General features: G+C 52.1%; 2 protein-coding genes and 1 long non-coding RNA gene across 24 annotated transcripts in view, besides 3 other annotated features; 2 read left to right on the top strand and 1 right to left on the bottom strand.

Annotated features, from left to right (window-relative positions):
- RAD54L2 (RAD54 like 2) overlaps window positions 1-7,401 on the top strand; it is a 129,942-nt gene extending 122,541 nt beyond the window's left edge. For all 6 annotated transcript variants that reach the window (NM_001322253.2, NM_001387866.1, NM_015106.4 and 3 more), the window contains one exon: window positions 1,167-7,401. In NM_001322253.2, coding sequence (NP_001309182.1) covers window positions 1,167-2,161 — 995 coding nt within the window. In that variant the 3' untranslated portion in view covers window positions 2,162-7,401. The remainder of the gene's footprint in view (window positions 1-1,166) is intronic.
- Window positions 1,428-1,928: an enhancer, noted in NCBI's record as "H3K4me1 hESC enhancer chr3:51696703-51697203 (GRCh37/hg19 assembly coordinates)". NCBI's record gives its function as "activates a minimal SCP1, AML or CMV promoter by ChIP-STARR-seq in primed H9 embryonic stem cells {active_cell/tissue: H9 hESC(primed)}" and the evidence as "EXISTENCE:reporter gene assay evidence [ECO:0000049][PMID:30033119]".
- LOC124906237 (uncharacterized) lies at window positions 7,358-9,846 on the bottom strand. Its single transcript, XR_007095907.1, has 2 exons — window positions 9,390-9,846; window positions 7,358-8,397 (listed from the first exon to the last, which is right to left on the bottom strand). It is a non-coding gene; the product is annotated as an uncharacterized LOC124906237 (long non-coding RNA).
- Window positions 9,729-10,158: a silencer, noted in NCBI's record as "silent region_14416". NCBI's record gives its function as "represses an Ori minimal core promoter by ATAC-STARR-seq in GM12878 lymphoblastoid cells {active_cell/tissue: GM12878}" and the evidence as "EXISTENCE:reporter gene assay evidence [ECO:0000049][PMID:35858748]".
- Window positions 9,993-22,630, top strand: part of TEX264 (testis expressed 264, ER-phagy receptor) — a 33,072-nt gene continuing 20,434 nt past the window's right edge. For 3 of the 17 annotated variants that reach the window (NM_001243725.2, XM_047448278.1, XM_017006574.3), the window contains exons 1-2: window positions 9,993-10,288; window positions 13,012-13,303. In NM_001243725.2, coding sequence (NP_001230654.1) covers window positions 13,046-13,303 — 258 coding nt within the window. In that variant the 5' untranslated portion in view covers window positions 9,993-10,288; window positions 13,012-13,045. Of the gene's footprint in view, window positions 10,289-10,367; window positions 10,445-10,618; window positions 10,721-10,794; window positions 10,825-10,950; window positions 11,043-11,081; window positions 11,134-13,011; window positions 13,304-20,082; window positions 20,172-22,630 lie in introns of those variants that run through there. The other 14 variants (NM_015926.6, NM_001243727.3, XM_047448276.1 and 11 more) reach the window with 13 other exon arrangements.
- Window positions 17,366-18,124: an enhancer, noted in NCBI's record as "H3K27ac-H3K4me1 hESC enhancer chr3:51712641-51713399 (GRCh37/hg19 assembly coordinates)". NCBI's record gives its function as "activates a minimal SCP1, AML or CMV promoter by ChIP-STARR-seq in naive H9 embryonic stem cells {active_cell/tissue: H9 hESC(naive)}" and the evidence as "EXISTENCE:reporter gene assay evidence [ECO:0000049][PMID:30033119]".

Consider the following 22,630-nt stretch of genomic DNA (forward strand, 5'->3'; position numbering starts at 1 on the left):
CCAATTTTCTTTGTTTTTTTAAAACAAATGCTAACATACCATAAAATACTATTTACTCCTTTTTTCACTCACCAGTAATAGTTTATTCCTTATCATTTCTTCTAGATATGTCTTCTTGAAGGTTCGCACAGGATGAGCTGTAACACAATGTATTAATTAGTTCCCTGTCAACATACATTTTGATTATTTTACTCCACCATCACTGACAGTGCTTTTTCACAGAGGTGGTTATATCTATAGGATATGTTCCTTAAAGTGGGATTGCCAGGTCAAAGGGTATATGTGTGGCACATGAACAGTGTTAAGAACTCTTGCCAAGTTCCCCTCAGTGGGAGTGGTTCTCATTTATCCTCCCACCCCTGAGCTAGAATGCTAGAGGGCTAGAATGCTCTTGTTCCCTGCTTTGTATTATGGAAATTTCAAATTTTCATACATACAGAAAAGTTGAAAAATAGCACCATGAGCACCCATATACCCTGCACCTAGATTTAATGATGGTTAGTTTTCATAAACCTTCTTCTTTCTCTCCCTCCCTTTCTATTATTTGAGTCATTCGTAAGTCGAAGATATATGTCATGTTTTTCATCATGTCATTTTATCTCTAAGTACTTCAACATGCATCTGCTAAGATTAAAGATATTCTGTTCCTAGCCACAATATCATTATTACACTAAAAAAAGCTAACGATTCCATAAAATTACCTAGTATTCCAAAATTGAGATTTCCCATTTGTCCCAGTTGTCTTCCATAGCTATGGATTTTGTTTTGTTTTCAAATCAGAATGAACTGCTTTTTAGCTTGATTTTCCTCTTTCCCCCACATTGATCACTGACTGTCTCTTACTGCCAGAAAAAGTTTGACTAGTTTTAAGAATGATCTCTTAGTGTTTCATATCCCTTATCTCGTAGGATTCATTTTGGTATAGTTTTACAGTTTGGGGAACTGGGGTGCAGAAAAGTTACATGCCTTGTCATAGATAGACCTATTTCTGGGATCAAAGAATTTCTTTGTGACTGGAAAAGGTTGACTGGGTGATGTTGTTCAGACATCAAACTATTAGAATTTTGGGGACTACAGGACAGGATTTTTTTTAATGGAGTTTTCTCCTCTACCCTTCTTCTCTCCCTGGCCACTCTGATTCTCAGTTAACTACATTTTGTCCCCAGGTTCCCAGGGACCTTCTTGCGAGTCCACAAGCAACGGCAGACACAGTGCCTCATCACCCAAAGCCCCCGACCCTGAGGGGCTGGCCAGGCCCGTCTCTCCTGACAGCCCAGAGATCATCAGTGAGCTTCAGCAGTATGCAGATGTGGCTGCTGCCCGGGAATCCCGTCAGAGCTCCCCAAGCACCAATGCCGCCCTGCCTGGCCCCCCGGCCCAACTTATGGACAGCAGTGCTGTTCCCGGGACAGCTCTCGGAACTGAGCCTCGACTAGGGGGTCATTGCCTCAATAGTTCCCTCTTGGTGACTGGCCAGCCCTGTGGTGACAGGCACCCAGTGCTGGACTTAAGGGGCCACAAGCGAAAGTTGGCCACACCACCTGCTGCCCAGGAGTCATCCCGCCGGCGGTCCAGGAAGGGTCATCTGCCAGCCCCCGTGCAGCCGTATGAACACGGGTATCCAGTCTCTGGCGGGTTTGCCATGCCACCCGTCTCCTTAAACCATAACCTCACCACCCCCTTCACCTCCCAGGCTGGGGAGAACTCCCTGTTTATGGGCAGTACCCCCTCCTACTACCAGCTGTCCAATTTGCTGGCAGATGCCCGCCTGGTGTTTCCAGTGACTACTGACCCTCTGGTGCCAGCAGGCCCCGTCAGTTCCTCTTCCACGGCTACCTCAGTCACTGCCAGCAACCCCTCCTTCATGCTCAACCCTTCTGTGCCAGGGATACTACCCAGCTATTCACTCCCATTCTCACAGCCACTCCTGTCCGAGCCGAGGATGTTTGCGCCTTTTCCTTCCCCTGTCTTGCCCAGCAACCTTTCGCGGGGCATGTCTATCTATCCAGGCTACATGTCCCCACATGCAGGCTACCCAGCTGGTGGCCTCCTACGGTCCCAGGTGCCTCCATTTGACTCTCATGAGGTTGCCGAGGTTGGGTTCAGCTCCAATGATGATGAGGATAAAGACGATGATGTGATAGAGGTCACTGGGAAATAGCTAGGGAGCCCCTCCCCACCTCACTTGGGGCCCCCAGCAGGTTGCCCACCAAGCTGAAAGGCAGTGATTTAGACCTTTTGAGAATAGGACACTTGGCAGGAGGGAAAAGGAAGAGGACAAAGGAGGGTGGTTGGCCAAAGTGGCAGAGCTCTGTTGCTGTTTAACAAAAGAGGCAAAAAAAAAAAAAAAAAAAAAAAAGTCCAACACAGCAGCAATAGCGGGAAATCAGGGACCCAAAACAGGGATGGAGGGGCAGTGCAGCCTCTTTTCCTTCCTGCCTTGCTTATGCTGTCTGCTTGCTTGCTCGCCCATCTGAGTGTAGAAGCGCACATCCCATTTCTGTCTTTGGGAACATTCTTTCCCAAGAGAGCTGCCTTACTAGGTGACTTAGCTTGGCCTGGGGAGGGGAGTGAAGGAAGGGAGAATGAGTGAGAGAAGGAGGGTGGGTAGGGGGAGCAGACTGTGATCCCATGTGAAGTGGGGTCTTTTTAGGGGGTGGGAAGGAAGCTGACCAGGTATGTGTGTTTGTGAGTGTGTGTGTGTATGTTTATTTTGTATGTGTATGTATGGAACAGAGCAGGGGTGAAGGTGGGAGGGGAGGGAGGGAAGAACTAAGAGGGAAACTGAAAAATGAATTTATCTTTCTTTAAATGGAAGTCAGTTTGGTGGTTCATGGCACCTAGTGTGAACATCAGGGTGAGCCCAGAAGAGCCATGGAAATAACAAGTTTCCTTCGGGATGGGTGAAGAGAAGGCCCAGCTAACTCAAGTCCCTGGTATTCAGAGCCACATTTGTGTGAGAATTTGGGGAAATTCATGAGAGAAAATGGGCATTACCAATCTATGTCTCTTAACCCCGGTGGCTATCTCTGAGCAGCTCTCCCTTTCCAGCTTGGAAGGTTGTCTGTGTGCAGAGGCTGGGAGGGAGAAGCACTGCAGTACGTGAATGAAAGGTCGCAGAGTTGTGGCTGGAAAATACATTTTTCACCAGGGTAGAACTGAGCCCCCAGCTGCCTATCCTGGTAGTCTTTTCTGTTCCTTTCCTTCCCCTTTAGAGAGCTCCATGTTAATTTATTTCTTATGGGCAATTATTTATTACTTGGACTTTTCATGTGTCTTGTTTATTTGGGGGTGGGGGGAGGTTAGGGGTAAGGAGGGTAGGTGATAGAAAGGGAAGTTTTAAGATATCCCAGACCCTATAGCCACTGGTGAAAAACAATCCTGGATGGATGGTAAATTGACCAGGGGAAGAGTTAGGTTTGACCAAGGTTTGGATTAAACAACTATATTTTTGAGAGATGGCTTTTCAGGAAGATCAGGGAATCCTGAGACTGGATAGTTAGTGGAGGGTGGGACTCATTCCACAGAAATCGAAAGTTGTGATCATGGAGTTTGCAATTGGGAAGTAAGAGACCCCAGATTTGGAGCTGTGTCCTCCTGGGATGATGTTAGATGTTGGCTCTCTATGCTGAATAGTGAAGCTGTGGATAGGCGGTTGCTGGGTTGAGGGACTGTTGATTTCATGTTCGAAAATATCTTCAGGTGGTCCATGTAGGCCTGGTGTCTGCTGCCTCCATCTTTGAAGGAACATGGAGGAGCCCTTTCTCTGTAGGAGCCCTAAGTCTGGGTTTTATCTTAAAAGAACACACCAGTCATTCTGGGTCTCCCCTTATTGCCATTGCCAGGGGAGGGTCGTCTAGTCCTTAAGCATAAACACTGGCTGTCTTCCTACTGGTGTCCCCGCCCCCTCTGTATCCCCCACCCCAACACTTTGCCAGACAGTTCTTTATGATGAACAAACTTTGGCTTTAGAGCTTTACCACTTACCCATGGCTCCCTCCTTACTGGGCAGGTGGTGTACCTGCCTCTTCCCAGCCCAGAAGGCAGCTTAGTCAGGTCATCCCAGTAGTAGCTCCTACAGCTCTTCTGACCAGCCCATTTCCATCTTTGGAGGGCCTTAGCAGACTCTGGGGTATTGTCCTCAGAGAAGAGACAAGGAGATGATGGATGGGGTGCATGTGTATATGTGTGTTTGTCTGCTGTCCAATAACACCAAAAGTGGAACTTAAGAAGCTTTGTGTTTTCATAAGCACCCTGCCAGACACTTAACTCTTCTACTCATGGAAGCCTTAGATCTACAATTTAGCTATGCAAATTATTTTAATAATTTAAAAATAGCAGTTCCAACCAGTGCTTTCTCTTTCAGATGCATCCCAAGAATGGATGGTGAAGGGACTCAGTTGGAGTGAGCTCTCAGGTTGAGGCTGGTGCAGTAGGAGTGAGCTAGACTGAATCTCCAATTTATGGGACACACTCAGAACCTGGGTTACACTGATGCCTCTCAGGCCCTGGAGCACTGGGATCCCAGAGATGCATGTGTGCATGTGTATGTCTGTGTGTGTGTGTTGTCGGGAGAAGGGGGTAGTATTTCTGTGTTCACTTCTAGGAAATCACTGTACTAGCCTCCAAGAATCCGGAAACCTTCCCAGCCGGGAACTGAAACCATTCCCTGGAGGGATGGGCTTGGCTTTTGAAGTTGACAGAAAGTAAATGGGTATTCTGAGAGGCAGCACATGCCTACTGTCTATCCAGTGTTCCAGGGACTGGGTCTTGCTTCTACTCAGCAGAGGCCATCATTCTGGGAGGCTGACCTGACTAGAGAAGGCTTTCTTTTATATGTGCAGTTTCTATTGTGTAGAGGGGTTGGGGGTGGGATCATGGGAAATTGGAGTGCTACCAGGTCCATGGTTTTTGCTTTTTTTTTTTTTTTTTTTTTTTTTTTTTTTTTTTAAAGAAAATAACCTGAAAACACTTCTGACTTTTCCACTGTCTCTTTATATGTGCTGATAGGCAAATGTGCATGCACACCAAACATAAGCATGTTTGTGAGGGAAGCAGGAAGTATCTCAGAGCCTAAGAACCATGTTTTATAGTTTCTTTGATCATAAACACTTGGTGGTGTCTTCCACCCATTATCCAGGCCTGAGGGGGGCAGGGTGGCTGGTGATAAGAGGGAGGGCAGAAAATCAGGCCTAGGCGTTTTCCCTTACCATTGTCTTCCATGGAATGTTTTCAAGGGCCTCTCAAGCCCCATTCATCTGGTTTAGCCAAGTTCTCAGCCTGGGGAACACAGTACTACTTAATGATTGAGGTTTACCATTTATAGTGATGCTTGATTTCCTTTTCTTAATATATTTGTAGATAAAAATTGAACAGGGACAAAGTAGCTATTTAAGAAAGGAAGTGAACCATGTTGGGTCATATCATTTTCTTTAGATTGGATATCTATGAAGTCCACACCCCTTTGAGTTATGCTTTTTAGGCATCTATCTCATCATCTCCTGATTTAAGGATAATTCTGTCTGGTCCTTGGAGCTCTCTTCCCTAGGAATTAGTGTGTGGAGTCTCTATATGCTTGTGATCCTTGGAGCTCTCTTCCCTAGGAATTAGTGTGTGGAGTCTCTATATGCTTGTGATTCACAACTAAATATGAAATTTCTCAATTCAGGAGCAGGAAGCAAAGTGCTGGGGTACAGTTTTGCAGATTGGTTGAAACACTTAGCCAAACTTAAGTGGCCTGGGTAGGACCATCACTCCCAAAGTTGTCAGCAGAGAAGGGCCCTCTGTGTGAGTCTATTCAAACCTGGCATTGCTCTGAAATTGAGTCCTCATCCCATGGGGAAGGTCTTCTGGGGGCTTTACATTCCTTGTTACTAGTGTTCTGGATATTACCTTCTGCTTCCCACTTCCTTTTTTTTTTTTTTGAGACAGAGTCTTGCTCTGTCACCCAGGCTTGAGTGCAATGGTGTGATCTTGGCTCCGTGCAACCTCCACTCCCGGTTTCAAGCGATCCTCCTGCCTCAGCCTCCCAAGTAGCTGGGATTACAGGTGCACACCACCATGCCCAGCTAATTTGTATATTTTTTAGTAGAGACGGGGTTTCACCACGTTGGCCAGGCTGGCCTTGAACTCCTGACCTCAAGTGATCCACCCTCCTCGGCCTCCCAGTGATGGGATTACAGGCGTGAGCCACTGCTCCTGGCCCCCACTTCCTTTTGATTTCTCAGATCAGTCTTTCCCTTCTGAGCCATGGCCTTCTGTGCACCCAGCTCAGTGGCTCTTCACCCCTAAAACTAAGTGAAGTCATCCTTCCCCAAAAGGACCCCTGGGAGATGTTCTGGCCCTCTGCTGACTACTCCCAGGAATCAGCACCTCAAGGACTATTTGAGAATGTTGTGCTCTCTATTGGTCACCTTGAGACTCCGTTCCCCTGCTGCCAACTCTTCTCTTCTGCCCTGTGTATTCTGCTGTGATCCCCTTAACGGCTTTTCTGTGCTACTAGCTTAGCCCTAGGCCTTTTATGAATACCTGAGTCTTATAACAATGAACTTCTTGAGCAGGCAGTGTCCAACTTCTTTGCTCTTCAGGGACCTGAGTGTGCACCTTTCCCTTTTGCAGGTCTATTTGACATAGTAATCTAGTGTGTTGGGGAGGGGTAGCCAAGCAGGCTGCAGTGTCTGCAATGCAGAGGGCTTGGGGAGGTTTGGGTACTCTCTGCTGCCACTACTGGGATGATATTCAGAAGAGAGAGGACCTCATACTGTGACTGGACCCAGGACCCTCCCTGGAAGAGAGCTCAGCCCAGCTGTGTGTGTGTGTGTGTGTGAGTGTGTGTGTGTGTGTTTGTGTGCTGTGCTCATGTGCACCTGGGTGTAAAATGACTGTTATCTGGTTGTGTTACTCAGGGTGGGCTGGGGACTCACCAGAAGAATCCCCCCCAGCCTGCCCAAGACAGGTTTTTCCCTTGTACCATCTTCAGAGAGGTCAGGGGAAGAGGGTCCAGGTGGGTTAAGGGGGGTCGCTATGGATAACCACTAAGACCAGACTGCTGCCAGGAGGAGTGGGGGATAATGAGGTGGCCCCAGGGTCCTGGCACCTGGCTTTGGTTTTCCGTCTTCTTTCCTCAGGACGCCCCTGAGGCCTGGGACCTGTGCCTGGCTTCGAGGAGCATCTGTGGCTGGGTGATCCAGCTGCTGGTGTGATCATGGGCTTCCCTCCTCTCAGCAGGGCAGGCGCTCCTGCCCCAGAGACTGGGCAACTGGCTGTTTCTATGACGTATTTATTTTTACTTGTGTTTCATGTCACTTTTTTAAAAAAAAGCAAACAGAACAATTGTAAGTCAGTATAACTGCCTATCAGTTTTCTTTATTTCTCTTTTTGTAAAATAAAATTTAAACTCAAGAAGGCAGTGTTGTTTGATCAAGGAATTGTCTGGATAGTTGTTTGGCTGGGTGGTGGTGAAAGGAATAGATCTTAGAACATAGTGGGCTCTGGGATAGCCCTTGGGTGATGAGATAGGCAGGAACAGAAGGAAGACTGATGGCAGGCTCTTTGTTGCAGTGGGGTTCACTGGGCTTTTTCTGCTTTTGTTCACCTGAAGAAGGATGTATTACCAGGCTCCAGGGGAAACAGCAAGCTGACTTCAGAGTGGCTTGAAGCTAGCTGGTCCTCAGCCAAGGCAAGTCCTGCAGGGGCAGCCCTGACTAGACAGTGAGTGGCTGGGGATTGGGCACAATGCCTTCAGAGGGTGGGAGACAGTGTGTCTGTGAGTGGCTGGTGGCAGCGAAAACATTCTTATTGCATGTGTATTCTCTGTCATCCATGTTGGGGAATCTAGCCACTGGCCCACAGAGTTAAACAGAGCTTTGGAGTGTGAGAGGTGGGGGAAAGAAGGGACAGTCTACTCCAGCTTCCTGTTTAATTTCTTCAAGGGGAGGGGCCCTGGGGAAACAATTTTCTGGAAATTTACAAAGAAGGATAGAGAAAGAATCTCTGTAGTGATTCCTTGGACAGAGGAAGGCAAGAGGAGATGAAGGCCAAGTCTGGACTCATGATAGGGGAATCTGTGCTATTGGGAGATAAGATTGGGAGTGGAGGATGGTTGCAGCACATGGCTGGGCGAACAGGTTTCCTCAGACCTGTTACAAGGGGTTGGAATGAAGAAAGTGCCTTGTAGAGTAGGCTGCTGCCTCCTGGTGGCCAGCCGCTGCCTTGCAGGGATCCTGCCAAGGGACCTCACTTGGCACTGTTGGAAGCAGCCTGAGGTGAAGCTGGGCAGGCTGATGTCATGGCCTGCAGCCCCAGTCACCAGCGGACTCTCCTCCCACAAAAGAGGTGCTGAAGCTCCTGAGGCACATGTTGAACTCTGATGTGGGGCTCTAGAGTTCCCCAATCAGGCTAAGGGAAGTGAGCAGAGAGAACAAGATAAAGAATGGGCACTTCCTTATAATGGTTTCCTGGGAAAAGCTCACCACCTTCTGAGAAGCAGGAGAAATGACCACGCAGACCCTGCAGGCAGAGGCTGTCAGTCTCTGAGCCCGGGCCATGGCTGCTCCTTGTGTCAAAGGAAATGCTACCAAGTGTGTAGCCCGCCTGCCTGGGGCACCTAAGCTGAGGGTTTGACCATGTGCTTGATGTTCATAGGTAAAACAACTGCTGCGACCTGCACTGGCCCAGCCCGGAGTGCCTGTGAGGGGCCAGCTGCCTGTTCTGCCAGTTTGCCTAGAGGGCTGGGACAGGCTTGGCCCTGTGGATAAGGTTCAAACTCCCCTGCCTGCGGAAGGAAGAATGTGAAGCAGAGGGAAAGGAAGCTGGGATTTTGACTGTCTCTGTGTGCCCAGCCTGCTCTTTGCTGGTGCAGTAGTGGGATCCACAAGGTGAACCACCCTGTGACTGCTGACTTTTCCCACCACCACCTTCGTGGTGTTCCCATCTGCTGGATCCCCCTCCCAAACATCAGTCCTTGTCAGGATACCAAAGTAGCTCTTGGCCTCGCCGGTCTTGTAGCCAAGCTTATGAGCATAGTTGTCACCTTCCCCACCTCCCACCAAAAGTCCGGGATTTTCACGAGGGGAGCGTTTTATCTTTGGGCCCCTAGAAGAGTGCTTTGTAGTTTGTAGGTCCTCAGAAATTTGAGGTGAAGATTGAACCAATCATCAAGGAGCTTACACTTGACGTGGGAATCACGTAAGTTACCGCTAAACCACAAAGGTAGACCAGCCTCCCACAGCCACAACCTGGGCACTGAGGGAGGAGCCTGGAAGAAGGGCATTCCCATGGAACGTGAACTCCAGGAGGGCAGAACCTTGGTTTTGTTCACTCTATCCCCAGCCCCTAGAACTGTCCTGGCAAGGAGTAATAATAAGTGTTGGATGGATGAATATACTCACGGAAGTGGGAATGGGTGGGTGGAGGCAGGAAGCAGATATTTGCGCTATGCAGAAGTTGGATCCACCAGTTTCTTCCGCGAGCCCAGACTGGGCTTCAGCTTCCTCACCTATGCCTTTCTTGGTTCCCAAGTCTGTTGCGAAGCCACAGTGAGAGAAAGTGGCAGGACTAAAGGTGGTACAAATGCCAGAGGCTGATACTGCTGTGCTGCGCCTCCCTAGGCTGTACAAATTCTCCTCAGCCCCAGCTCCCTGGTCCCCAGCCTGGCCCTCTACTGCGGGCCACTGGGCTGCCTCCCGTACCCGAGCCTGGGCCAGGCTGTCACTGTGGTGCTCCTGCCAACCCAGATGCCCTGGGGTGTTGCTAAATCAACCTCAGCAACCGGATAGTTTGTTGGAGGCGGGAAGGTACGCCGTGGGTTCCGCCGCAGCCAGCGCTGGGGCTAGGCACACGCCCGTTGCCATGGAGACGGGGCGGGGCAGGCCTCCGCCCTCCGGGTCCCGCGCGCACGCGCCCACGGCCACGGCCATGTCCCGCCGCGAGAGGGGGCGGAGCGAGCGTGCGCGGCGGGCGCGCGCAGGCTCCGTAACCGAACCCTGAGCCGCCTGCGCGGATCGGCGTCCGCAGCGGGCGGCTGCTGAGGTGAGGGCCGGGCCAGAGGAGAGGCATACCCACTGGGGCGTAGGTCTGGGACTCCCCCTGTCCGCCCTGGCGCGACCTCAGGACTCTCCGTGTCCCCTCCGTGACCCCCGCGGCCCGGGCCGCTCTTTGCATCTTGTCTTGCCCACAGCTGGCCTCGGCCAGGTCCGAGGGCCTGGATGCGACCTTGGGGCAGCCCCTACTCTTCCGGGCAGCCCACTTCCGCGGCCACCGGTGCAGGGCATGCCCCGGGGCCGTGGAGGTGAGGGAAAGAGGCGCGAGTCGCGTTTTAACTCCGCCCCCGTCCCCCAAGGCCGCGCCTCGCAGCCTGGGCTGCAAACTTTAGCGTCCTTTAAGTTACAGACGTGCGTGGGGCTCCGTGAGGAGGTGGGCGAAGAGAAAGGCTCTGAGTAAATAGGCAAGGCCCGGGGTGAGCAGGGGCTGGAATCCGAAAGTGGGAGGCGGCGGCCCCCCACCCTCCATAGTCCTTCCGCCCTCTGCTAGCACCGAAGTTTAGCCCAGGACGGGGGCCGTTTAAGGGCCCGGCCCTCCGCCGCCGCGCACGTGAGCGGCACCAGGAAGCTGGCTGGGCGCAGCCTTCCCTGAGGCTCGCTGGCACCGGCCGCACGCGTCCATCCCGGGCCTCTGAGCGGAGGGGGAGCCGAGGCTAGAGGGAGGGCGCAGTCTGCCCAAGGTCAGCGGCAGCGGCAGTTTCTGGGCGCCAAGTGTGATTGGAGTACTCCAGGAAGAGGGGCGTGACCAGAGCTCTAGCGAAGAGACCTGACATTGTAAAGCTAGGTTTGGCTTCTGATTTCCACAGGGGGTTTGAGAATGGGACGAGGGTGCTTTAGAGGGACCGGTAGGCTTTCCCTGAGGACGGTAATCAGGGCATGATGGTTGGCTCAGTGGTTATTTCCTGGGCAGGGGTGACTGTTCTTTCAGCTCCCAGCACTGGAGCGCTCGGCCCCTGCCGCACTGGATGCCAGCAGTTACTAAAAGTGAGCCTGGCATTTCAGGTGAGCTCCCAGACCTTCTTCCTTTTCTCTTGAATATAGGGGAAATTCACGTTACCTCTCCACGTGCCGACCAAGGCTCTGAGACCCCCAGGTGGGTTTTCTTCCCCCCCGCCGTTTTCTGAGCAGTTTGGGAAGTGAGAGGAAGAGAAAGGTAGATACTAAGTTTCCTTGAGGAGACAGGAAGTGTTCAGCTGAGATGGCAGATCAGGGTGAGGGCTTGTCATTCCCAAGGCAAGTGGGGGCCTAGATGCTGAGAGTTTTCCAGCTTTGGGCTCAGAGATGTCCAACAAGGATTTAATGCTTCAGGCGTTTTGGAAGCCAGTCACCAGAGAGGAGAGAGAAAGTGGAAATGAGGGGCTGGAATCAGACTGTCTGGGCTTGTGTTGCCTGCATTTTGGTCCACGTGGCTCTGTTTAATACCTGTGTTACCTTGGGCAAGTCTCTTAACCTCTAACTACTTGAACCTTTAGCCTTACCTACCTCTTTGGATTGCTTTGAGGGTGAATGAAGTAGCTGTGTTTCAACATTTAGACAGTGCCTGGCGTATAGTAAGCATTCAGTGGAAGATTTCTCATCATTATCAAAGAAAATTGGAATGAAAGTTACTGGAGACAAGATGAGTAGGACAGGCAGAAAAGAGAGAGATACTGATGGGTAGAAGCACAGATGGGTGAGACTAGTGGGCAACACCTCAATTTCTTGACACCGAAAGTTTAGAAATTTACTTTGCCTCTTTGTGAGCAAATACTGTGTGCTCATTGACTCCAAAGACAATTTTTTTTTAGCGTAAAATCAACACCCAGCACCCACAGGGAAGAAATAATTCCACAGAGCTAAGTATTCCACAAAGTTGCAGCGTGGCCTTTTTAGCTTCAAAACCTTTTAAATGTTAAATATTACTTTTAAATAATTGGGGTGGGAATGTCCCCCCAGTGGGTCACATGGCTCCCTTCCTCTTTAAACAGTCTTCTCTGGGCTGTGATTTTTCCCCCCCGCCAGGCAACTCAGGTCAAGCCCTCTGTGTAAGAGGGTTAGGCCTCTGGCCCCAAGCTGCCTGGAGAACTAGGCAGCCTGCCTTGAATAGCTCACAGACTGGCCTCTGTGTTATGTTCCTGGGACTGCTCTTGAACAGCTTCTTTTCCTCTTAGGGATAATTGTTACTTCCTCCTGCTGTGCGACTCCCCTTTTAGCAGCCTTTTCCTCTTACTACTCACTGTTTCTTCTGTGGGCTGGAAAATTGGGATGAAGCTTGTTAACATTGGTGGTTCAAGTCTGGGAAGCTTAGTGTTGGACTTTGTTCTGCCTGCTCAGGCCGCTTTGCTCTGGTCTTTCCTCTGGTTCTGGATGGGTAAGCTTGCTGGATAGCAAGGTCCCTGCAGGCCAGATGTACTTAGAAAAGGAGAGTTTCTTATGAAATTCTCTTCCTGAGGCACATTTTTCCTCACAAGTTTTTGTTCCTTATGGTTTCCCTGTCGTTAGTAAGTGTTTGGACCCTAGCATTTGCCAGTCCTCCCTCTGGCAGTCGTCCCTGAGGCTTGGGGAGGCTGGGCTGGTGGCGTGGCTCAGCTGTGGGGAGGAAGAGGTAATGTGGAGGAAAGGCAGGCTGGCTGGTATCTGGTACATCTTCGGGGAGACTTGTCAGGGCCCGGAGTATGTCTCTGGCTGAATCACTCCTGTGCCCCTCTGTGACTCAGTTTCCCCAGGTGTGACCAGGGCTGCCAGCTGACAGTTTGAGCTGCTCTGAGATCCTCACCAACTGCGATTAAGAAATAAAGAGGCTTGTGGCTTCAGTCATCCTTGTAGCTCCCTTCCAGGTCACTCTGTGTGTAAACACCTCTGGCCCCTCCCCTTTCTGGGTCAGAGCACCCAAGGCAGGTCTGAGGAGGTTGGGCCAGAACTGGTTGGCGGGCAAGTGGGCACATTGTCAGAGTAGGCTACCAGCCTCCTCTCCCTTCTTTCTCCTTTGCAGCTGCCTTGAGGTGCAGTGTTGGGGATCCAGAGCCATGTCGGACCTGCTACTACTGGGCCTGATTGGGGGCCTGACTCTCTTACTGCTGCTGACGCTGCTGGCCTTTGCCGGGTACTCAGGGCTACTGGCTGGGGTGGAAGTGAGTGCTGGGTCACCCCCCATCCGCAACGTCACTGTGGCCTACAAGTTCCACATGGGGCTCTATGGTGAGACTGGGCGGCTTTTCACTGAGAGCTGCAGCATCTCTCCCAAGCTCCGCTCCATCGCTGTCTACTATGACAACCCCCACATGGTAAGGAGTCTCCATGGGGTTCTGCCCCATGGATGGGCCTGGTGGGCCAGGGCTTCTTTGGGGAGGGTAGTTTTGGTTGCTGAGGAAAGGGTGGGAGAATCTTCAAGCTGGCCCTGCAGACCCCTCCTCTATGAGCTTGAAGCACCTTCCAGATTTAGCCTGGACTTCTGCTCCCGGCATCCATTTGTGGGCTTTCTATTTGCCCAGGTCTGGTTCCCCTTGCCCATGGCTACTTGTGGATTTCCAAATGCAGTGGACTATACCACCATGAATCCCTGGCTTCTGCCAGGACTTTGGTCCCCTGCCTCCTCTTCTTGTCATCCCTCCTTCCATCTCCATTTGGGGCCAGTGCTCTAAGGCCAGGCCATTCAGATTCTGCCCACTCTTTGGGGTTACATCTTGCTGTTTCTGTGCTTTCCATCCCTCAGCTCTTCTGCCATAGTTGTAGGCCCTTGAGGGCTGAGAGGGCAGTCCCTGGGGATGGGGCTTGGAATCTTACCTCTTCAGCCATTCTGATGCCCCTCAACCTGGTGATATGGCATTTCCTTAGACCTCAAGCTGGTGCTGGGAGATGGCCAAGGGGGCTAGTGGAGCCAGATGAGTTACTTAGAATGTTCAGAATGCTGAAGTCAAAAACTAATCCAGCATCACTAGCACCCTGTGAGCGTCTGGCTGTTCTTACAACCTATGGTGAGTCAGAGCTTGCTAATGTAACCTACTGCTATGCTATGGGGTGGTGCTGCCCACAGCTGGATGGGCTGGCAGCTCTGTCAAGGGTTCTTCAGCCTCTACTACTAAGCCATGCCAAACCAAGCATTTGGAATCCCCAGCTCTGATTTCCTTGCCTGGAGAGCTCAAGTGCACAAGTCCTGCAGTCTACCCAATGTGTGCTGACCGGCTTACTGGGGCACTAGTTGAAACAGGATGTACTGGTTCCCTCTCTGTGCCAGGTTCTACTCTACACCTACACTCTGGAGATGAATCAGACCTGGCTCTGCCCTCAGGAAGCTCTGTGTGGCTGACATGTCAGCCCCACATAAGTGATTCTCCAACAAGACACTGTGCTTGATGTCCACAGAACTTTGAGCTGTAGGTTCAGGGAGGCTGCCATGAGTCTGCTGGGGAGGCTCAGAGAAGGGGTAGATTTCAGCTGGGCCTTCTCATGTAAGTAGAATTTTGCTTTGTTGGGAAGGGGTACTTGGCTAAGAAAACTGTGACAGCAAGAGCCTGAAGACATGGGATGACCAGAGAATTGTGGTTAGTAGACATGTCTTGGGTGGAGAAAGGTGGAAGGGTTTGCCCAGCCAGGTGGTGGGGAAGTACAGCAGGTTGAGAAGAAGGATGTGGCACAATTTGCCACCTTTGTTTTAGGAAGTTAGCTGAAGGGCAGGTGGAGGAGGGAAGGAGATGAGGCAGGAGGCCGTAGAAGAGATTGGGCTGGGTCCAGGTGAGAGGCGACATGGGTTGGTTGAGGTTTTGCAGTCACATGGCCAGGAGATGGCACTAACTGAAGTTGGGAGCACTGGAGCCTGAGTGGGATGGGACAGACAGTGGGCTATGGGGAGCTCCTAGAGCAGATGTGTGACCCTCACCCCTTCAAGGGCTCCGTTGTGTAAGGCCCTGCCCCCCCTTCCACACCTGGCCCAGTCAGAGCCTTCTGCAAGAAGAGTCCTTGCAGCTGGCTGTCTTCTCATTGGCGTGTCTGCCTGTTCTGGAATCAACAGGTTGCCTCTTGGGTTGGAGGTGCTAATTCCTGGATGGGAAAGGGCTAAGGCAGCAGGGTACCCTGGGGTCAGTGCTGGAGGCTGGTCTAGGGAAGAGTGAGATGGAAGAAGCCTGGCATGGGATATTCTGGCCTGGCCACTGCCTCCTGCAGCTTTCCCAGAGATGTGGTGGACCCCATGGGGTGGGCCCTGGGTCTCCAGGGTTGGTTGGTCATAGTCTGACTAGGGTGCTTGTCTGGGGGACTGTGGCCTGAGAGCACAGCCTTGAGGCTAGCAGTCCCGAGTTCTGATTCTGTCCCATCACTGTCCTGCTGAGTGATCTTAGGCATATCCCATAATGTTTCTGAGCCTCTATTTCCTTGTCTGCAGAGTAATGATAAAATACCTGCTTCATAGTAGACTGAGAAGAGTTAAGTGATATAGGTGAGGCATTTACCCCAGCACTTAGCCCTCAACAGATGCTTAACAACAACAAAGATGGGTGGGAAAACCACTTGTGCTAACATATGCTGAGAGGTCAGACTGAGCAAACCTAGACCCTTGGCCTGGCTGTGGTCATTTGGGTGGCACAGAGGATGATGAACAAGTCAAGGTGGCCCTTCTGACCCTGCCCATCCCAGTCCTGGGTCAGTCCAGAAGACACCTGTGTCCCCATTTAGAGCTAGGTCACACTTGGCACCTGGGATGGCTCAGGGACACTTGGGTCCCCATTTACTCTTGGAGCTGGTCAGTGCATTCTCTGCCTGACAGAGATTGTAACAGGTTCAGGGAACCATGGACCCCCAGGCTTCAGGTGCTCGTGGCTATCACAGACTGGTCCGGAAGGACCTGAGGCCTCCTGGTCCACACTCCATATTATGGAGGGAGAAACAGATTCAGATAGTAGGAGAAAGGCACTGATCTCATATGTTTTTGTTTTCATTTAACAAATATCTGAGCACCTGCTCTGTACCAGGCTCTGTGTTGGGCACTAGGGTACCATGGGGACCAGGACCTGCCAGTGTGTGGGTGTTAGGAGCCTAGAGGAAAGGCCCCATCCTGGTCCTGGAGTGGGCTGAGAACCAAAGGTTTTTGTCCCCTAGGCTGCCTCCACCAGCAGTGTGCAGCGTGGCATGCTCTGGTTCTCAGAGAAAGAGAATAGAGGCTGACCTGTTCAGTGTCCCACCCCCACTGTGTCCTTCCCTAGCCCAGAGTGACAGGAGCCAGAACCTGCTTCTCTGTGAGTGTGGGGAGGCAGTGAGGCTGTGTCAGGCTCTGTGAGTGGGGTGGTGAGTAACCAGGTGAGAGGTGCCACCTGGCTTTAGATGCTGCCCACCCCATGAGGTGTGACGGACAGCTCCCTAGCCATGCCTCGTCCTGTCCTCAGCTGGGCAGGGAGTAGGCTGGTCCCACCTAGGCTGGGTGTGGACCCAGGAAGTAGCACAAGAAAGGGTACCACTAAGATTGGACAGTGGCAGTTGGTGTGGACCTGTTCATAGTAGCTGCTGCTGGAGCTGTTAGCCTTGTGCCCTGGAGTCCTGTATGGGAAGAGGCTGCAGGTCTGGGTGAGTGGTTCTTGTGAGGCAGGAGGAAGGATTCCATTCTCCATCCCTGAAACCCTTGGCATGGTTGGGAATGGGAAGGTGGGGAAGAAGTCTTTTGGGAAGTGGACAGACCCTGGCAGGGGCTCATGGGTGTACTCACCCACCTCAGAGCCCAGCATTCATGGAGTGTGGGCCATTCCTCTTCAAGGTATGCAAGGGATGGGGTATGAGTTCAGAGATAAGGATCACATGTAGGCGGATGTCAGTCACAGATCTCCCTTACACACACTGGTCCATACTGCCCTTGCATGACTGGGGAAGGGTCCTGACTAGAAAAACTGCTCTGCCTTTAGCCCTGCTTCTGCGGTGGGTGCTGGGGGCTTGGAAAGTGACTTCAGGCTCCCTTTTGGGGCCTGGTCCCTCTGGGAGCCTTCAGTGTTGGAGGGGAAGGAAGGAGCTGAGAGGACCCTGAGTGCCTCGCTTGATCCTGGCCAGCTCTGGCCTGTGGACAGGCCCTAGTGGCTGGGCTGCTATCACTGTGCCTGTGGGCCCATCCTGTCTGCCAGGCTGGCTCTCTACCTCCTGCCCCACCCTGTGCCACCATCACCTCTGCTGCTATGTTTGGGGCTTAAGCAACCTGCCTGCTTGCTTATATGGGGAGCCTGGCTGGGGCAAGATGGGTGTGGCAGCTAGTTCAATTTATGTGGCCCAAGTGGGCCTATATTTGCTGCTTACATCTACTACCTAGGAGGTGGTGTTTGCTCCAGGCATGGAGTGGGTTGGGGAACTGGTGGTACTTGCTTCTGCCTTTAGTAAACAAGACTGCCATTGAAGCCCCCTTTCCCTTAGTCCAATGAGAACCAAGGCCCAGGGCCACTAGGTCTGCAGGGGCCTGTGGTCATTTGGCTGGCATGACCACAGCCTCACAGAGGCTGGTGAGAGTTCTGATGTAGGCCTGTGTCACACTCCCTCCTCCCTCAGTGTGTGTGGAGAGAAGGCTCCCTGCCCTCCCTGGAGGCACTTAGTTTGGGTGGAGCCTGGGAAGGGGTGAGGGAGTAGGATTTCCCAGGACTGACCTCCTCAACAAAGGCAATGGGAATGTGGGCTGGGATGTTTCCTGAGGGCTCAGGCCGCCCCCTATCCTGGTTACTCCATGGTTATTTTCTGCCAGGTGGAGTCCAGGCATTTGCTGTGCAGCAGGTTAACTATGTGGGACAGGTCTGGAAGCACGAGCTCCTCTCTGCCCACTAGAACTGTCCTTGAGGTGAGGTGAGACGAGGTGTGAGAGGAAGGGGCTTCGGATTTGCCCTTCTGGGTTTGAATCAAGGCTCCACTGCTAACCAATGTGTGACTTTAGGTGAGTCACTTGGCCTGTCTGAGTATGTCTCCTCATCTGTCACATGAGGATAAAAGAATCCCTACCTCAGGGTTTTTGTTTTGTGGGGGCTAATTGATAATGATATGGCCCAATACCCAGTTCTTTAAATAGGTGGGTGTCACACTTGACATCCAGTCCTGCCTGAGGACCTCATGCCACTGGGACTTTGTACTTTTAGGGACCCTGCCTGCCTCTCTGGTTTAGTCCCAGCCTCCTGCAGGTTGTCTGGGCCATGTGAGGCGGCACAGTGCAGGGAAAAGCCATTGTGCAGCCCGCTTTCACTAGGGCCAATTTCCGGGACTCCTGGATGCCCCTGGGTTGTGTGGCGCAGCTCTGAAGCTGGTCTGCTTGAGTTTGAATCCTGACTTCAGCACTCCCTTGCTGTGTGACCTTGGCTGAATGGCTTGGTTGTCTGGGCCTTGGGAACAGGGTTGAAAACAGTACCAACCACAGAAGGCTGTTTGGATTTAATGAGCTTATGCTTGGAAGGCAGAGTCTGGGGAAAGTGGTGAGTGCCTGGTCAGATATCAGCTGTTTTTAGGATTCTGTTTGAAGGTGTAGGGTTATAGAGGAAGGTTCCTGAAAGGTTTCTAAGTAAACTCACCTTTGAGGGCTGGTATCTTGTTGACTCCTTTCTTTCCTCCCGAGCCTGAAGAATGAGGCTTGTCCTCTGGCCTAGCTGTCTGCATCATCTCGTGTCCTGACTGGTGCCTGTCTCCGTGTGCCTTTGGGCATAAGCTTCCCAGGGAAGTTGGGGGTTGGCGTGTTGACCTGTAGCACCTAGGAGGGCAAACGAGGTCCCGTATCAACCACCTAGTCATGGGCCAGTGCAGCTCGTCTATTCCCTTGGGAGTACAAGTGCAAATGAAGGGCCCTGCCTCTACTTTCCCCCTTAACTTGGGTAGCTCTGGGTCAGTGGGCTGGCATGGGAAGAGTAAGGGCAGCCCTCTGTGCCTGGGTTTGAGAGATGGTGCTGCTGTCCCTGTCAGGTTGTGTAGGTTGTGGGCCTGGGGTTGGCAGTTTGTATTAACCCTGAACCCAATGACTACATTTGGTCTGGGCCGCTGACACCATTTCTCATTCCTGCATCCTGGAAGATTATCAGTCTTGTCCAGTTCCCAGACTCAGCGAGGTCTTGGCTTGGCAGGGGCCCCGAGATGGCTGTCTTCGCTATAGCCTCACACAATAGGGTCGGCAGGGCACTGTGACACCACTCAGGAAGGGGCAGTGGGGCCAGCCTTGGGACTAGCTCGTACCTGGAAGCCTCAGGTTCTAAGCAGACTGCCCTCTCCTCCCAGTAATGGGACTCAGGAGGCTTTTCAGCCCAAAGGAGATGCTCTGGGGCCTGGCATGCCTCTGTTGTTTTCCTGGTACTCTTGCTTTGAGGACACATCCTGGATGGGCTTGTCTTTACCCCGAGTGGTGGTGGGTCTGGCCACTGCCCTGTTTCCCAGATGTGGTTCCTTGTAGGTACTAGTTCTGGTCCAATTCTTGTTCTGGGCAGAGGTACCCAGAGAAATAGCTGATCTGGGGAGGAAGAGGAGCAGGCAGGTAGGGCTGGGAGGCCCAGGCCTATGTCCTAGGGTTCGGCCCAAATACAGATACTCATTGAGCCAAGGTGGATGGGGTCTCTTGCCCATCAGGACATCCCAACCTTCTGGGCACTTGACAGCCTTAGTAGGCCTTTTCCCTGGAGGCGGGTCTGGGCTTTACTGGGAGGCCAGGAAAGCTTTCCTCTGCCACTGGATCAGCCTTGCCACTCCCTAGGTTATTTTAGGGCCTGTCCCATTTCCTCCTTGCTGGTGCCTTGTTCAGCTGCTTCCCAGCTTCAACTTTGCATGGGGCCACTTAGTGGGTGGTAGGCTTGCTGAGAGACCTTCTAGGCTCCTCCTTAGGCCAGGGCAGGGGAGGAGGTAGGAAGTGTTCTTACTTGTGGAATTAGGGAGTTGCTTAGCCAGGAAAGGAGCTGCTGTGCCCCACACACCTCCTGGATCCTGGGAGCCCTGTCTTCTTAGCTCCCTTCTTCCACTTTGACAGGAGCTCTGCCTTTTCTCCAGGTGGAGGGAGAGGAAGTTTGTTATGGTGCAGGGCTTGCTTGTGTGTGCATGCATGTACTGTCACTGAGCATGCCTCAAGAACTTTCTGTGTGCGCAGGATCCTGGACCTTTTTGCCTAGAGGCCTGGAGTGATGGAGAGAGATGGGGAGGCCATCAGTTACAGTGCAGCACAACACCTGCTCCCTGGTGGGTACTTGGGATCAGAGAGGAGGGGCTGCTTGGTGGAGAGCAACAGAAGGCTTTGAAGGGGAAAGTTGAGCTGAGTCTTGCAGGATGGGCAGGAGTTTCCCAGTCAGAAGGGACTCTGGAATAGGGTGAAGAAGGACATTTCAGGCAGAGGAAGTAGCTTACGCAAAGGCAGGAAGCATGGGAGGATGTGGCATGTTTGGGGAGCTGCAAATAGTTTCATGTGGGTGTGTGTGGGGGTGTGGCGGGTGAGGAGGCTGGCAAGGCGGGCTGGGCCAGAGCCTGGATCTGTCCCTCCCTCTGCCATGCAGACACTCAGTTGGTGCCTGCCCACCTGGGCTCTGGCCCCTGCTGGGGCCTGAGGCTGCAGAAAGGGAGTGCAAGGTGAGTGTGTGGGCAAATTCATGCAGTATTATGTGGGCCACTCCAAAAGAGCCTTGCCTATTGGCTTGTGAATTTAGTTTCATCCTAGAGGTAAATTGGGAGCCATTGAGAGGTTCTGAGCAAGATGACCACATGTGTTCTGGTGTCTTTTGGCTACTGAAGAGGATGTTGAGCTGGGAGTCCCATAAGGCCTGCTGAAGCGTTCCCAGGAAAGACCCTGGAACTCAAACCCAGGCAAGCCAGCTGTAGAAAGGAAGAGAATAAGTGACCTTTCATCCGTTTCTCCATATGACTTATGTAGATGTTTCTTTTGCACAGCACAGGTTGGTAGGGTCAGGGACATGAAGATAGGCTTTGTGGCAGGCAGTGTCTCTTGGCTTGTCAGCAGGAGGCCTGCCAGATAACTTCCTGCCTATCTGGTCATTCTCAAGTCTTGGCGTGTGAGTAGGGCAGTTCCACCATCTAGAGACAAGAGATGGTATTGCAGTGATCTCCTGTGCCTCTGGGTGGGGTGGGAGGAGCTTCAGGCCAAAAGAAGTGACTGTGTGCAAGGTAGACTTATGGAGGGCAAGAAAGTTTACAGCAAAATACTGGGGGAGAAGAGAGTGCCACTGAGCCACGCTGAAAGGCTCTTCAAGAGGGTATTTGAACCGGAAGGACAGGCAGGGAGGAGCTGCATATTCAGAGGTTTGGGTGGTCGGGCATTCTAGGCCATGGACAGTTGTTTGGACTGTGTCATAGCTACTAATAACCACAATTATGGGGCATTTGCTGAATGCTGGACCCAGGCTAAGCTCTCGTGAAGTTTCTTGTTTAATATGGCAGTTCTGTAAGTAGATATTGAGGAACTGGGGCTCCCAGAACCCAAGGGACTTGTCTAGAATCACACGACTCAGATTCGCACCGTGGCCTGCCTCTCTCAAGCTGTGTTTCTGACCACTACACCCGGTTGCCTGCTACTAAAGCTCTGAGCCAGGTTTGGATGCCGTAGGCTTCAAGGGGGCTGCAAGGGGACCAGAGCTGCAGACAGTTGAGGGTGACCGTTAGGGTCTGCTTAGAAGTGAGAGCCTGGAATAGGTGCCCAAGTCCCAGGCAAACTGTGACTAAAAGGAAGGCCTGGGTTGGCCTGAGTAGAGGAGGCCATTCAGGGCTGAGAAACCCCCAGGGGATTTCAGAGAGGGCTTGGAAAGGGCTGTAATGGGAGGGAGAGGTGAGAACAGGTAATAATGACTTCACAGTGCTGGGAAGGAGGGCTGGGGAGAGGAGTAAGTGGAGGTAGAGGGAGAAGCCTGTTTAAACTTAGGGGTCATCCCTGTGAAGGTGAACTGCTGGCAAAAAAAATTTTTTTGCGGTGGGTAGGGAGAAAGGAGCCTTTAGAGTTGAGCAAAACCCAGGATTGAGGGTACAAGGTCTGTGCTGAATCTCTTGGATTCAAGATCATATGTCTCTGAGGGCCCAGTCTGAAGGCTGGTACAGACTTAGGCACCTGGAAAGCTGACGTGGGAAACAGGTAGCAGTAGGTGAGACAAAGTGAGGCCTCTTGATGCCAGGAGGAGAAATGAGTACTGGGCCTTGCAGCATTCATTCAGTCCTAGGAAGTGTTGGAGGCTCACATAGGAGCCTTACATGGCTGAGGTTTCTGGGAGCCAGAGGAGGGAAATTAGGTAGGGAGGCAAGCAGAGTGGGAAGTGCAGGCACTAGCAACCTACAGAGATTTGGAGGGGAACCAGTGGTCTTGGCTTTTAGCCAGGAAGGGACTTAGGAAGTGGGATAGGTCCCTGGATGGGCCATGGGTTGCAGAAGAAGTCTAGAGGCTCTGGTGATGGTAGCTGGCCCTGCCAGAGGGGTGGGGAGGATGATCTCTTCACAGAATTTCACCAGCAACCCAGATGTCAGTGATCCCAATCCTATGTCCTGACAGGTGCTTCCTGCAGCCCCTCCTCAGCCACTTGCCAGGTCCTGACCCTGCAAGCATGTGTGTAAACACACACACACGTGTTCTTGCTTTCCTAGGGCATGACCGTGGAGGGCTCTGAGCTCTTTATTACCACTCCTCAGTTTTGCTCCCTTGCCTG

The sequence above is a fragment of the Homo sapiens genome, chromosome 3 (assembly GCF_000001405.40).
Source record: "Homo sapiens chromosome 3, GRCh38.p14 Primary Assembly".
Classification (NCBI taxonomy): Eukaryota; Metazoa; Chordata; class Mammalia; order Primates; family Hominidae; genus Homo; species Homo sapiens.